Raw genomic sequence first — 14,126 nt, forward strand, 5'->3', positions numbered from 1 at the left:
TTGCTTAAGTGCAGATTCTAAGTAATGTCTTGCTTTGTTTCAATTCTCAATTGGATTTTATCCATAATGCTAGACTCAATAGTACTTGTTATATTTCAAATCTGTCTAATACTTGCACTTAAGGAAATTACAGAGAAGAATGAAAACATTTCAGAAGGCTACAAATGAATATAAATCATTGTGTGCTCATTGATGTGAGGGTTAGAGGAAGCTATGGAGAAGTAGTAGCCTAGATTTTACCATCTTTTTGTGAACAAATGCTCACTTAACCTACTTATACCAAGAGTTTGACTGGCACCAGACCAAGCAGAGTCATGCCAATTTCTTCCATATTTTAGTTTTGATTTCAGGGAAAGAAGGAGAGATACCCAAAGATTTTCATAAATCTAAGACTGGAAGAGGCCTTAGAGTCATCTTCCCCAGCTGACATTTGATGCTGAACTACTCAATATCCTCACCATGTGGTCACTCCACCCAGTCACTACAACCCAGTCCTGGCAGAGCTTGGATTTGAATCCAAGTGTTTAATTCTTAACCTGGCCTTCTTTATGCTATATCAAAATTCCTGGGCTACCACTTGGGAGAGGGAGCTGGAGAGAGCAGTGAGTGGGGTAACCTACATAGTTTCCCACAGCTTGGAATGATGGTTGTGTGTATTCATGCTGAAACAGCTACTCTCCTTGAGGCTCTTGTCTCCTGCATGTAGTTCAGCCCCTTGGAGCCACTGGGGATAAAACTGCTTCCTCTTGCACATTGAACATCTTTATTTGGTATTATCAAGTAGCCAAGATTCTAGTGCAACTTCCCTTCCTCAAGGCGACCAGTCCCATCTACCCTATCACCCTTCCCTCTTCCAGCTTCACCTCAAGTCTCTGCTTTCTTCTAGGGAAAGTAAGCTCTACCAGGAGGCAGGTCTCTGGCCTTCAGGAGGACTATGCTCAAGTTCATCACTCCACTGCACATTTGGGACAGCCTGGTGCTGTCAACATCACCAAGTTGAGATCTGGGAAGACTCTTTGCATTTCCTAATGGAGAACCAGAGCCCTGATCCATCCATACAATGACAGAACTGGAACCGAACTTGGAGACTACCTGGTCCAGTGCTTTATTATACAGAAAGGGAGGTGAAGCAGCTCATCCAGATCATGGCAATTGACTAGTGGCACAGGTTGGATTTAAATCCAGGTCCTCTTATCTCTAATCTGGTTCTCTTTGTGTTTATCAGATTCCCTGGGACAATACTGCATTTTGTTCTCCCTATATATTTGTGCCAGAATAATTTTTCAGCTCAGTTTCACATATTCATACTATCAATATTCATCTTCCAAATCTCAGGAGCTTAGCAAGAACAAAAAGCGGATCTAAAAATTAATCCATTATTGGATGACATGGATTATAGCAAATACAAAGTAGGAGAAAACATACATAGAAAAGTAAAACCTCAGAGTATTTACAGCCTTATGACATCCATCAGGCTGTGACCAAAATTGGATAAGACAGAGCATTATAAATCCTGGGGCTGTAAGGGAAGCACAAGGAGAGAAAAGTGTGCAATAGTGGCTGCTGCCCTGAGCAACATTCATCATCTGTGATCTCCCAGCCTCGCCGTCTTCAGAGCCCGTCCTGTGCACGGTGGGTTTTGTTCTGAAGCAGTAGGATGCACTGACACTGATCCCTCTCTACATTCTTGATGTATGCGACTGATACCTCAAAACTGAAGCTCATAGGGCCAGCCTGTATCTGGATTTTTAAATATGAAAATGAAAAAAGAAAATCTCTGTCTGAAGGGCTGGCAGAGAAAGAGGGAATCAACCTCTTTGCCCCAACAACAATGAAAAACCAAATCTGTGATCCTGTGGCTGAGAACAAAAGAGTGCCCCGCAGAGAGGTACACAAAACAGGCTGTGAAAATGACCCATCAGAAGGAACTCAGGAGAATCAATAACTTCAGTGGAAGACTTTAGGTCAAATTCTGAAACTACTACAGTGTGAATCCTGTGAACTGTCCTGGGGGAAAGGAGTCTGAATGTTTGCAAAACATCTGCGTTGAGGTGAAAATCAGGAGTCCTTTAACACACTCATCAAACCACCCCTGGGTGGGCTTGTTTGTTTCCTTCTCATTTCCTGGGCTCCTGGCTGCTCTTTGCACAGGCGTAAAATTCTCACTGCCATCAAGAGGGGATACAGGGGTCTCACTGAGGCCCGAGCTGCATTCTCATGCCCAGACTGAGACTGCAGAGGTAAAAAGTCAAGTTACTACATATTGGCATTATAATTGGCAGGCTGTGTGGCCTCGCCTCAGCTTTGCATTGTAATAGCCCCAAATGATCTGCCTCTGTTTCTCACAGCTCTCCTCCCTTGCTTTCAATGTCCTCTGCTGTTAATTAAATTCATACATAATGACTGTGGCTGTCTCCTGGACTCCATCCATCAGACAGCAAGCTGCTTTCCAGTGCCAGGTCAACTCAGCCATAATGAATAGACTCAGAGGCTGACCCTGCCTTCCAGATTTTCACCACGGAAGAAAGCACACAAGTGGTAGTTAAAGCATCTTGTTTCACATTGTACCTCTGCTACTCATAAAGTGAGATCTTGGCAAGTCAGTCAAACTTCTCGAGCTTCATATTTTCTATTTATAGTGATTTTTATCCAGGAGTATTTCAGTATCATTATTGAAGCTTTTAAATAATACAAGTCCCACCCCATACCTGTGGAATCAATTTCCAGAGGTGGACCTGGGTATCTATATTTTACAAAGCTCCATTAGATGCATCCATTCTGAAACATTTCTTGATAAAGGACATAAACCATTGGGTTATTGTAGAAACCATATAGATATGGGTATAAAGGTGCATTCGAAGAGATAAAGTGCTCCAAATCTTATTCATTTTATCTTTTGCTTTTCTTCTCCTGAACGCACAGACACAGACACTTTCTAGATTCTTGTTCTAAATATCTCTTTCCTTTCCATATGTGAGCCCTATCTCTTTCTCATTCATTAAATAATGAGTTCAAATGTTGTATTCCATTTAAGTCCTATTAACTTATGCCACTTCATAGTCTTTCTTTTTCGAAATAACCCTATCTATTTTTTTATTACTGTCCATGTATATGTCATATTAGTATATACATCATTAAATCTAATGGAATGAGTATTATTTCCATTTTACAGCCAAGGACATTAAGATTCACAGAGATTAAGTAATTCAGTAAGTATTGGAAGTGGAATTGATAACTTTGTCTTCTTCTAATTTTAAGTTCATTGCTTTTCCCATGGGCTAACTCTGGGAATAGCATCCAAGTTTTTACTTGTAACTTAGCTGTTAACTATTACAAAGCCAGCAAGTAATAAATGGAACTTAGGGAACCTTTAAAATCTCTTCCATGGCTTGGTGGTTTAATTATTATTGTAATATATTTAGAAATTTTGATGGCTGATTGAATTCTTTATTTCTCTCCCAGATATTTTTAGCTGAGTAGATAATTAGTCTGAACTGTGTGGGACTTGGTTCCTCTCCTAGAAAAAAGCACACAGGCAGCCGTGACTCCTTGAGCTTATGCCAGACTCTCTTTTCCTGACCCTGTAAGCATGGAGGGCTGTGTCCTCATTGTCATGCAGAAAGGAAGTCACACATGAAACAAGTGGAGGTAGTTCCTATCGCTCACATTTCCCTTCTCTCAGGTTGATTAGGCATTGGTAAACTCAAGTGTGTTACTCTGGTGAAACAGTTGCCCTTGAGGGCAGACTGTTAGGGAGAACAGAGAGGTCTGAGTGTTAACAAAAATGGTTATTTTTCTCCTCACATGATGAATGCACAAGAAGATTTTTCTCTATCTTCATAGTGACAACCTGGTGGGGCTCCTGGAGGTAAAACTCCTGAAAGTGTGAGGGTTCTCCTAAAACCGAGCCCTTGCCCCCCAATTATTTAATTCTCAAGCTTGTTCTCACTGAGCTTCCAGCAATTGCCAATTTCAGTTTAAAGTGTTCTTACCCTACCAGTACTAGTTCCGGCTGTGAACTTCCATTCCTGGGCTTTGGCTCTGATAAGCTGTGACTCCCTGTATCTGCCCATCTATTGCTCTAGTTTTCAGGGTAGCAGTTTGCCCTGTGACTTCAATTCTCTGATGTACTTAAGAGTAACAAACCTGCACGTTGTGCACATGTACCCTAGAACTTAAAGTATAATAAAATAAAATATATATATAAAAAAAAGAAGAGTTGTTGATTTTCAGTTCGTTCAGCTTTTCTCTTGCTATGAGGATGGGGGTGATGACTTCCAAGCTTCTTACAAGTCAGACTGGAAACGGACTTTTTTACACATGGAAGAAGAAGAAGAAAAAGAAAATAAGTTGCACTCTGTATTGGTTGAAATTCTTTTAAAAGCAGAGCCTGAGGCAAGAACTTGCTGCAAGTAGTTAATATGAAAAGTGATCCCTGAGGGCAGGAGTGAGAGATTGGTAAAGTGAATCAGGAACAGGAGAAAAGTTCATTTACAGAGTATAGCTTTGGCCTGCTTGTTTCCTGACATTGGCCTGATATGGGGGTGATTAAACACTCTGCATATGTAGGGTACCTATGTTCACCACAGCCTTGGAACAGAGCAGAAAAAGTCCTGCCTCTGATTTTAAGACCATTTGTGCTGAAATAGAGGAGGTGGCTGTCAAGAATAGGAGTCGGGGTCTCTATTTGCAGTGGTCTCAACTGGTCACCTCTCCAGGGCTTAGCTTTCATTAAGCTCACAGACATTCTTTCTACTAAAAAATATCCAAATGATTGTCTGTTGAGGCAAATTCCACATCTGAACAATGGGCCTCAAGAGGCCTGAGGCCCAGCAGATTTTCACAGAAGCTGTGAAACAAACGGCCCCTTTGGAAACTTGTAAGTTTTTATTTTAGTTCTTTTGATTTTATACATTTCTTCTTGCTATTTCTCAGAGGTTACCTTTAATCTAATCTTTGCCCTCCTGAATGGTGTTCTTAGCAGGCTTAGCCCCTAGGCCTGAGTAGCAGTTGGCTCTGGGTGTCACACTTCATTTTACTTCTTGTTTCACCTTTTACAGAGCAGTTGGCCACCAAGACAGAGGTTGGACAAGTGTCCTGGGGTAAGAGCTGGCCTTGCCAGCCAAGTGCCATAGACGTTCATCTCTTTCAGTCAGATACCCACCAATTCTTATCACTCTTGTCTAGCCTCCTTTCTTCCCAAGCCTAAAATGTCCCCAAGAAGAACATATTTCTATGTGTTAAGTTTTGTGCTAGCCCTATTTGTGATGGGTCATATGATATTCCAAAAATGGGTACATGCCTAAGGTTCCAAAAACTGAACTTAAGCCTTGATTAACCCAAATCTATCTTGACTTCAGTTTTTGTAATTTGTTGGACTATTGCAGAAATGGCAAAAATGTTTCATATACCAATCAGTTTCTAGTGGCTGCCTAGAAAGCTGTGATGAGGGAAATTCTTAAGTAACACCCAGACCCCGAGGGAAAGGTGAGAAGGTTGATTGGCAATGTCTGTCTTACACAAGAAAAGGGGAGAGACATTGTTTGCCATCCCAGGATTATAAGACCTTGTAGATTCATTTCAGCTCTGAACGGTTAAGAATCTAAATTTTGCTATGCCCCGCTTCTTCAGAATTCATCAGTTTTTTTTTTTTTCCAGCTGTCTCTTAGCAGTTGTTTAACCAATCTGGGATAAACCGTCAACAGTTGAAAGCTCGAAGGTTGCAACTATCACATCGCATTCCTTGGGTAAGTCATTTTCTTCACTGGGTCTCAGTGAAATTGGAGGGGCTGTCACAAGATATCTAAGGTCTCTTTCAATGACCAAGTCCCACAATTCTATTATTCTGGAGTTACAATGCCTTGGTGAAAACAAACAAACAAACAAACAAACCACCCACCAAGTGGCTTAAGTACACTGTAGGGTTGCAGAAGGGGCTGTATTTTCTTCTTTTCCTTCTCTTTCTTTTTCCGTTCCTTCTTGGTAATGAGGAAGGTAGGTAGTGGGCTTCATCCAGCCCTCAAATCTCAAAGTGATACTGTAAAATATATATTTGATCATTGACTCCATTTCCTGGCATACAACTCTTAAAATCCTTAGAATCTCTGAAGAGATCTTTTTGTATGCTAATGAAATGACAGGTGGCCGGCAGCTCCTAGGTCGCTTCAGGATGAGAGCTGGTCGCCAGAAAGTTCCAGGCAGAATTAGAGTGTTGGGACTTTCAGTCTCATCCCCTAATCTCTAAGGCTGAAGACTAAGTTCATCACCAGTGGTCATAGTTTAATCAATCATGCCTGCGTAATGAAGTCTCCATAAAAGCTCCAAATGGACAGGGTTCAGACAGCTTCAGGATAGCCCAACACAAGGAGGCTCCTGGAGGATAGTGTGCCCAGGGTGGGCTTCCATGCCCCTTCCCATACCTTTCCGTATGCATCTCTTCATCTGTATCGCCTTTAATACCTTTATAATAAACTGGCACACATAAGTAAGTGTTCTTCTGAGTTCCATGAGCCACTCCAGCAAATTAATCGAACTTAAGGAGGGAATCCTAATGTATAACCAGTTGGTCAGAAGCACAGGTAAAATAACATGGGGCTTTCAACTGGCCCCAAGCCCCAGCCTGAAGTTGTAGGGGAACAGTCTTGTGGACTGGGCCCTCCACCCTTGGGATCTCATGCTGGGTTGGGGTAGATAGTATTAGAACTGAATTGAATAAGAGGTCATCTAGTTGGTGTCCTCTGCAGAATTAAGTGACTGCTTGCTTGGTGAGGAAACTCCCCACATATTAGGTTAGAAGTCTTTTGTGTTGATTGCTACTGAGTGACAGAATAGAAAAAGCACTTTGAGTGTGTTTCTTCAACACATGTTACCCTTAATCTTCCTGCTGAACCCCCATGCAAAGGACCAGGCTGACCTGAACAATTGGGTATATCAAAGGGCACACATGAAGAAGAGGCAGAAGGAAATCATGAAGGCATGCAATGCGCCGGATCAAGCTACCTTTTGGGAAAAACAGAGCATTTGAGGTGTCAGGGGTAAGGGGACTCTCTGAAGGTACACTCTGAAGATACAGAATAAGTAGAGTGGACTTGGGATCCTAAACCCAGCGGAAAGTGAAGAGAAAGGGTAGAGAAATGATTTATGCATGGGTGGAGCAAGAGAGCAGAACTTGAAGCCAGGCCCTGTATTGGCACTAATTTGCTGTGTGACCTTAGGCAAGAGACCTTATTCCTCTGGGTCTCAGTTTTCTTTTCTCTTTTTTTTTTTTTTTTTTTTGAGACGGAGTTATGCTCTTGTCACTCAGGCTGGAGCGCAATGGCATGACCTCGGCTAACTGCAACCTCTGCCTCCTGGGTTCAGGCAATTCCCCTGCCCTGGCCTCCCAAGTAGCTGGGATTACAGGCATGCGCCATCATGCCTGGCTGACTTTGTAATTTTTAAAGTAGAGATGGGGTTTCATCATGTTGGTCAGGTGGTCTCAAACTCCTGACCTCAAGTGATCTACCCTCCTTGGCCTCCCGAAGTGCTGAGATCACAGGCGTGAGCCACGGTGCCCAGCCTCAGTTTTCTCGTGTATAAAAATTAAAGGGAAAAGGGATAAGTTGATTTCTAAGGGTTTTCCCAACTCTAACATCCTGTGGATCCAATTACAAGTTCTTAGAGCTTCCTATATCATGTGTATAGACACAGGTATCCAGGAAGGGAAGGAAAGAGAGAGGGTGTCTCTGAGTCGCTGACAGGGCACATGGAAGCCTAGAAAACCCAGGAAGACTGAGGCTGATCCTGTCTCAGACACAGAAGCTGTAGCGGGTGTTCTAAAGACCTAAGTAAGCATCCTGCTTGTCCTATCTCCCCTATTTGAATTTAAGCCCCAGGAGGACAAAGCTTACTCTCTGGAATCTCCGCGTTTTAGACTTACAAGTGTCTTTAAAGGTCATCTCATCTCAATCCCTTACCCCAAAATGGGAATTCTCTGTATCCTACCACTGAAAGACGGCCCCCACACCTGTGCGTATTTGCCCTTCCACATAATTTACAGAGTGGAGGGCAGAGTTTGATAATCCCTTCATGCAGCTGACCTCCTGCCTCAGGACCCAGGAAATCTCCCTACGGTTCCTCTGACACTGGCTCCAGTGTGCCAGCCTGGAACCTGAAATGCCATTCTCAGCTTCTCTTCAGGGAGTGAGGTGGGCGGACACATGGCAGGTTTTGGAGTCACACAGACCCGGGTTCAAGTCTCACTTCCACTGCTCGTTAACTGAGGGGATTTGGACAAAGTACCCCAGCTTTCTGTGCAGTTAACCTGCAAAACTCCAAGAATAATCCTTCGCGGGACTGGTGAGGATACATGGGGTGTAGGAGATGAGCATTAAACACGTGCTCCCCTACGCTGCTCCTAACCTCCCTGTCTCCACCTGGGTGTGAGCATCTGTGGGGGCAGGAATTGTTTCTTAGCTACAGGATACTCTTTTCCCAGTGCCAAAAACAGTGCTTTTGTGTCCGGAATTGGTGGGTTCTTGGTCTCACTGACTTCAAAAATGAAGCCACCGACCCTCATGGTGAGTGTTACAGCTCATAAAGGCACAGTGCCCAGAGTTTGTTCCTTCTGATGTTCGGATGTGTTCTGAGTTTCTTCCTTCTGGTGGGTTTATTGTCTTGCTGGCTCAAGAGTGAAGCTGCAGACCTTCCGGGTGAGTGTTAACAGCTGATAAAGGCAGAGCAGACCCAAACACTGCGCAGCAGCAAGATTCATTGCAAAAACCAAAAGAACAAATCTTCCACCACGTGGAAGGGGACCCGAGCCGGTTGTCAGTGCTGGCTGGGGCAGCCTGCTTTTATTCTCTTATCTGGCCCCACCCACATCCTGCAGATTGGTCCATTTTACAGAGAGCCAATTGGTCTGTTTTACAGAGAGCTGATTGGTCCGTTTTGACAGGGTGCTGATTGGTGCATCCACAAACCCTGAGCTAGACACAGGGTGCTGATTGGTGCATTTACAAACCTTGAGCTAGATACAGAGTGCCCATTGGTGTATTCACAATCCCTTAGCTAGACATAAAGGTTCTCCAAGTCCCCACTAGACTCAGGAGCCCAGCTGGCTTCACCCAGTGGATCCCGCCCCGGGGGCAGCAGGTGGAGCTGCCTGCCAGTCCTGCGTGTGTGCCCGCACTTCTCTGCCCTTGGGCGGTCGATGGGACCAGGCACCATGGAGCAGGGGGTGGCACTCGTCGGGGAGGCTTGGGCCATGCAGGAGCCCAGGGTGGGGAGACTCAGGCATGGCGGGCTGCAGGTCCCGAGCCCTGCCCCACAGAGAGGCAGCTAAGGCCCAGCGAGAAATCGAGCTCAGTGCCGGTGGGCCGGCACTGCTGGGGGACCTGGCGCACCCTCCGCAGCTGCTGGCCCAGGTGCTAAGCACTTCACTGCCCAGGGCTGGGGGCCTGCCGGCCGCTCCGAGTGCAGGGCCCGCCAAGCCCACGCCCACCCAGAACTCTAGCTGGCCTGCAAGCCCTGCATGCAGCCCCGGTTCCTGCCCGTGCCTCTCCCTCCACATCTCCCAGCAGGCTGAGGGAGCCGGTTCTGGCTTTGGCCTACCCAGGAAGGGGCTCCCACAGTGCAGTGGCTGGCTGAAGGGCTCCTCCAGCGCGGCCAGAGTGGGCACCGAGGCCGAGGAGGCTCCGAGAGCGAGCGAGGGCTGCGAGGGCTACCAGCATGCTGTCACCTCTCACTTTGCCTATTATAAAAAATGAGAGAGAGAAAATAAAAGCGAATTTATATGTGACCCCAGAATCTAGAACAGAGCTCTTTATCTCTCTCTCAGCAAGGCCTATTAACTAACACAGTTTTGCTGCTGTCTGTTTTCAGAACAAAGACTTGTTCTGTGTACTCAGACAGTCTAAAATGAAGGTTGAAAAAAACAGCTCATGTCCATACACAGAAACAGAAACTGAACCGAACACCGAAACTGAAACTGTTTGTCTCTTCCTGAGAAACGAGCAAACCTGAAAGCTACTCTCTCAGCTTCAGAGGGAAAAAATGGTTGTAGATTTCTGGACTTGGGAGCAGACATTTCAAGAACTAATCCAAGAGGCAAAACCCCGGGCCACATGGACGCTGAAGTTGGATGGCAACCTTCAGCTAGACTGCCTGGCTCAAGGGTGGAAGCAATACCAACAGAGAGCATTTGGCTGGTGAGTGTGGGTTTCCCAGGCAATAGCTCTTCTGAGAAGAGAGGCTCAGGCTCAGCTTAGCATGATTTATTCCTCTGAGAGCTTGTTGAAGGAGTAAATGTCACCAGGGCCTCCATCCTATTGTGGTCATAGTACTCTTTAGGGTCGACATGATAAGACGACTCCAAACCTCCATTTTGTTTAACTGCTGGAAGTTTCTTCTTTTACTAGGTTTCCCTCCGTAAATATTTCTGGAAAACCCTGGAGAAGGCTCCCTATTCCATAAATTTTCCCTTCTAGTTTCTCACCACGTCATTTGTTCCAGACTACCTCTAGAGTCTTTTGCAGTCTCCCCAGCAGTCCTGACCAGCTTCCCCCAGCTGCACCAGCTCTCCAAGCCTTGGCACTGTTCAGTACAAGCCTGGGACGGAGCCTTTTTTTTTTTTTTAAATATCTTAAGAATTGGCTAAGATCAAGCAGTTACTCTGAACATTGCTTTACTGAAGGCCTGGGGATAATAGTATAGAATGATGTTGCAAAAACTAAATCTAAAACCCAGTTCATGGAGTCACCAAGTAATACTCCTCCCTTACTCACCACTTCCCTCTTTAACCCCCAGCAAGCCTCCAGGTTGCAGGAACCAGTTTCCTTGACCATGTTAGGAGGGTGAGAATTGCTGACCTGGATAATCAAATTTATTTTTAAATGACACACAGGACCTTCGGTATAGTTTTCATCTGACCTATTACTCAGCTTGCCTGCCTGCCCCATCCTGCCTCAGGTATGGCCTACTCCATTCCTTATGGACTATTAGCTATGCCATGCATCTTCAGACTTCCACACTCTTGTTCATGGAGTTCTGCTTGTTCAGCAGACCCTCCCCTCACCCCTCCCTGCTCATCCTTCAAGGCCCACTCTAGTGCCTCCTCCTCCTAAAAGCATTCTCTGGTTCTCCTAGGCAGAGTAAGTATTCCTTCGTATACATTCCCATAAGATAATGGGATAAGATAAAATATATATGTATATGTATACATAAATGATATATAATTATATATACATATGTACTATGTATTTCAGAATAATAAATTTATAAATAATATATGTATTATTATATATTGTATCAAATACAGTATATGCTTATTTTTAGCTGCAGAATCTGTTGTTTAAATAAAGCCTCCTAAACGTCTCCAGAACAGTTCTCAAGTCACTTGTCAGAGCCCGTATAGCAGTCATGTTGCTCTGCTTTCTAATCCAGGGAAATGTGTAAATATTTCTGTCCACACCAGCCAGAGCTTTTTGAGGGACTCATGATGTCTTACAACGTTTTGGCACTCCTCCAAACAGAAAGAAGGTGTTTCTCCTGTTGGGATGATTTGATTTGATTGTCATTTCGAGATCGGAAAAGCAACCTACCAGTGTACTTTTGGAAAATATCAATCAGCTTTTGAAAAGCATTTTGTAGTTTACAAAGTGTTTTCACATACATCGTCTCTTTTGATGCTGCCAATATAACCCTTGAATTTTTTTTTTATGGATTCAAACAATGAGGGTTATAGAAGGGAAGGGCTTTGCCCAAGGTCTTCCTGATGTAAACTGGATCTTCAACCCAGGTATGAGGGATGCAGTCTGTTTCTCCAGGTGTGAGAGATTAGCTACACTACTCACCAGAGGCAACGTGTTACAGCAGGTAAATGAGTTGAATTTCAGATGGCCTGAGATTAGCAGCATGCCTCTAACATTTACCCTGTGTGTCCTTAAGCAGGTTGCGTATCCTTTTCATGATTCAGTTTCCTTATCTGGATATTGGGTTTAATAGTGCTTACTTCACAGATGAAATGGGATAAAATTATAAAGACCAATTATATTGTATGCATCAAAATAGATACTTTACCAAAGCTTTCTATGACCAAAATTAGGAATAAGTTTCTCTGGAAGATGGCAGACATGATTTTCCCTCAGAGGCATCTGGAGATGTTTTACTAGCAAAGAGGTAGACTTGGGTGTAACATATGGGTGGATACTCAGTAGGTCACAGGAAAAAGCCTTATCTGAAACATAGTCCTTCTTGTTCCTGTTTATCAATGACTGGGACAATCTAAATCACATGCATTTTTTCAAATGGAAAAGGATGTTAGTGACAGGGGCCAAGACCATTTTCCCTCAGGTTAACAACCAGATGAAGGCATAATGGGTGTCTTCCTTCTGACTGCAGGTTCCGGTGTTCCTCCTGCCAGCGAAGTTGGGCTTCCGCCCAAGTGCAGATTCTGTGCCACACGTACTGGGAGCACTGGACATCCCAGGGTCAGGTGCGTATGAGGCTCTTTGGCCAAAGGTGCCAGAAGTGCTCCTGGTCCCAATATGAGATGCCTGAGTTCTCCTCGGATAGCACCATGAGGATTCTGAGCAACCTGGTGCAGCATATACTGAAGAAATACTATGGAAATGGCACGAGGAAGTCTCCAGAAATGCCAGTAATCCTGGAAGTGTCCCTGGAAGGATCCCATGACACAGCCAATTGTGAGGCATGCACTTTGGGCATCTGTGGACAGGGCTTAAAAAGCTGCATGACAAAGCCGTCCAAATCCCTACTCCCCCACCTAAAGACTGGGAATTCCTCACCTGGAATTGGTGCTGTGTACCTCGCAAACCAAGCCAAGAACCAGTCAGCTGAGGCAAAAGAGGCTAAGGGGAGTGGGTATGAGAAATTAGGGCCCAGTCGAGACCCAGATCCACTGAACATCTGTGTCTTTATTTTGCTGCTTGTATTTATTGTAGTCAAATGCTTTACATCAGAATGATGAAAATAGGCTTGCCACTTTCTCTTATTTTAATTCCATGGTAGTCAATGAACTGGCTGCCACTTTAATATAACTGAAAATTCATTTTGAGACCAAGCAGGATCAAGTTTGTAGAATAAACACTGGTTTCCTAGCCATCCTCTGAAAACAGTATGAAACATGACCAAGTACATAATGGATTTAGTAATAAATATTGTCGAATTGCTAAAAAGTCTTCAATCATTCATTCACTAAGTCACTCAGTGATATCAATATACTTAGCTCAGAAAGTGTGGGAGGCTGAATAATGGTGTCTCCCAACATATGCATGACTTAATCCCCAGAACCTGTAAACATGTTACTTTACATGGTAGAATGGACTTTGCGGATGTAATTAAGGACCTTGAAATGGTTAGATTATTTCATATTGTCCGGGTGGATAAGAACCAGGATTTTGTAACAGGGAGGCAACAAGCTCAAAATCAGAAAAAAGAGATTTGTCAATGGAACAAGAGGTTGAAGTGCTTTGAAGTTGGAGGAAGAGGTCACAGGCAAAAAAGTACAGGCAGCCTTTAGAAACCCAAAAGGACAAAGGAACAGATTCTCCCCTGGAGTCTGCAGAAGGAACCAGCCCTGCCTGCACATGGCTTTAGCCCAGTGACACTGATTTTGGACATCTGACCTTCAGAACTGCTTGCTCATAAACTTGTCTTGTTTTAATGCACTAAGTTTGTGGTAATTTATTAGAGAAGCAATAAGAAATGAATATAGTTATCAATACTACAGTATGAATCAGGGAATTATGTTTTAGGTATGCTTCAGGTTTGATAGAAAAAAGAGCACTTTATACATTAGAAATACCAGTCAGCCCCATCTCCTCTTGTTCTTCTTTCTCCCCTACTTAAACCCACTCAAATATCTCCATCTCAAAGAGATTCCCTTTGATTTGATGATCCTTGGAGCTATCATATTCTCACTTCTTTCAGCATTGGATTGGGAATCACAGAAGAACTTGCCAATCCTGAGATCCTCTGATGCATCCTTCACCTCCTATTTTCATCTGTCTGCTAGGCATTTCTGTGTGGCTGTCATGTTTAAAGCCAAGCTCAACGCCTCTGACTCTCCTGTTTTAAATCCCCCAAGTCGCCCAAACTTTTCACCTCAGAGTCATCTTCAACCTCTC

The 14,126-nt window shown here is 44.0% G+C and overlaps 1 protein-coding gene across 1 annotated transcript, besides 3 other annotated features; it reads left to right on the top strand.

The window, feature by feature from the left end:
* Nucleotides 1,585-2,155: an enhancer, noted in NCBI's record as "OCT4-NANOG-H3K27ac hESC enhancer chr3:187077782-187078352 (GRCh37/hg19 assembly coordinates)". NCBI's record gives its function as "activates a minimal SCP1, AML or CMV promoter by ChIP-STARR-seq in naive H9 embryonic stem cells {active_cell/tissue: H9 hESC(naive)}" and the evidence as "EXISTENCE:reporter gene assay evidence [ECO:0000049][PMID:30033119]".
* Nucleotides 2,156-2,725: an enhancer, noted in NCBI's record as "NANOG-H3K27ac hESC enhancer chr3:187078353-187078922 (GRCh37/hg19 assembly coordinates)". NCBI's record gives its function as "activates a minimal SCP1, AML or CMV promoter by ChIP-STARR-seq in naive H9 embryonic stem cells {active_cell/tissue: H9 hESC(naive)}" and the evidence as "EXISTENCE:reporter gene assay evidence [ECO:0000049][PMID:30033119]".
* Nucleotides 9,837-10,186: an enhancer, noted in NCBI's record as "active region_20969". NCBI's record gives its function as "activates an Ori minimal core promoter by ATAC-STARR-seq in GM12878 lymphoblastoid cells {active_cell/tissue: GM12878}" and the evidence as "EXISTENCE:reporter gene assay evidence [ECO:0000049][PMID:35858748]".
* On the top strand, nt 9,976-13,667 carry RTP4 (receptor transporter protein 4). The gene is made up of 2 exons (NM_022147.3): nt 9,976-10,187; nt 12,379-13,667. Exons 1-2 carry the CDS (start codon nt 10,033-10,035, stop codon nt 12,962-12,964), a joined length of 741 nt encoding a protein of 246 aa, NP_071430.2. The 5' UTR covers nt 9,976-10,032; the 3' UTR covers nt 12,965-13,667.
* Nucleotides 13,668-14,126: the final 459 nt, after the last annotated feature.

This window comes from Homo sapiens, chromosome 3, assembly GCF_000001405.40.
Source record: "Homo sapiens chromosome 3, GRCh38.p14 Primary Assembly".
NCBI lineage: Eukaryota > Metazoa > Chordata > Mammalia > Primates > Hominidae > Homo > Homo sapiens.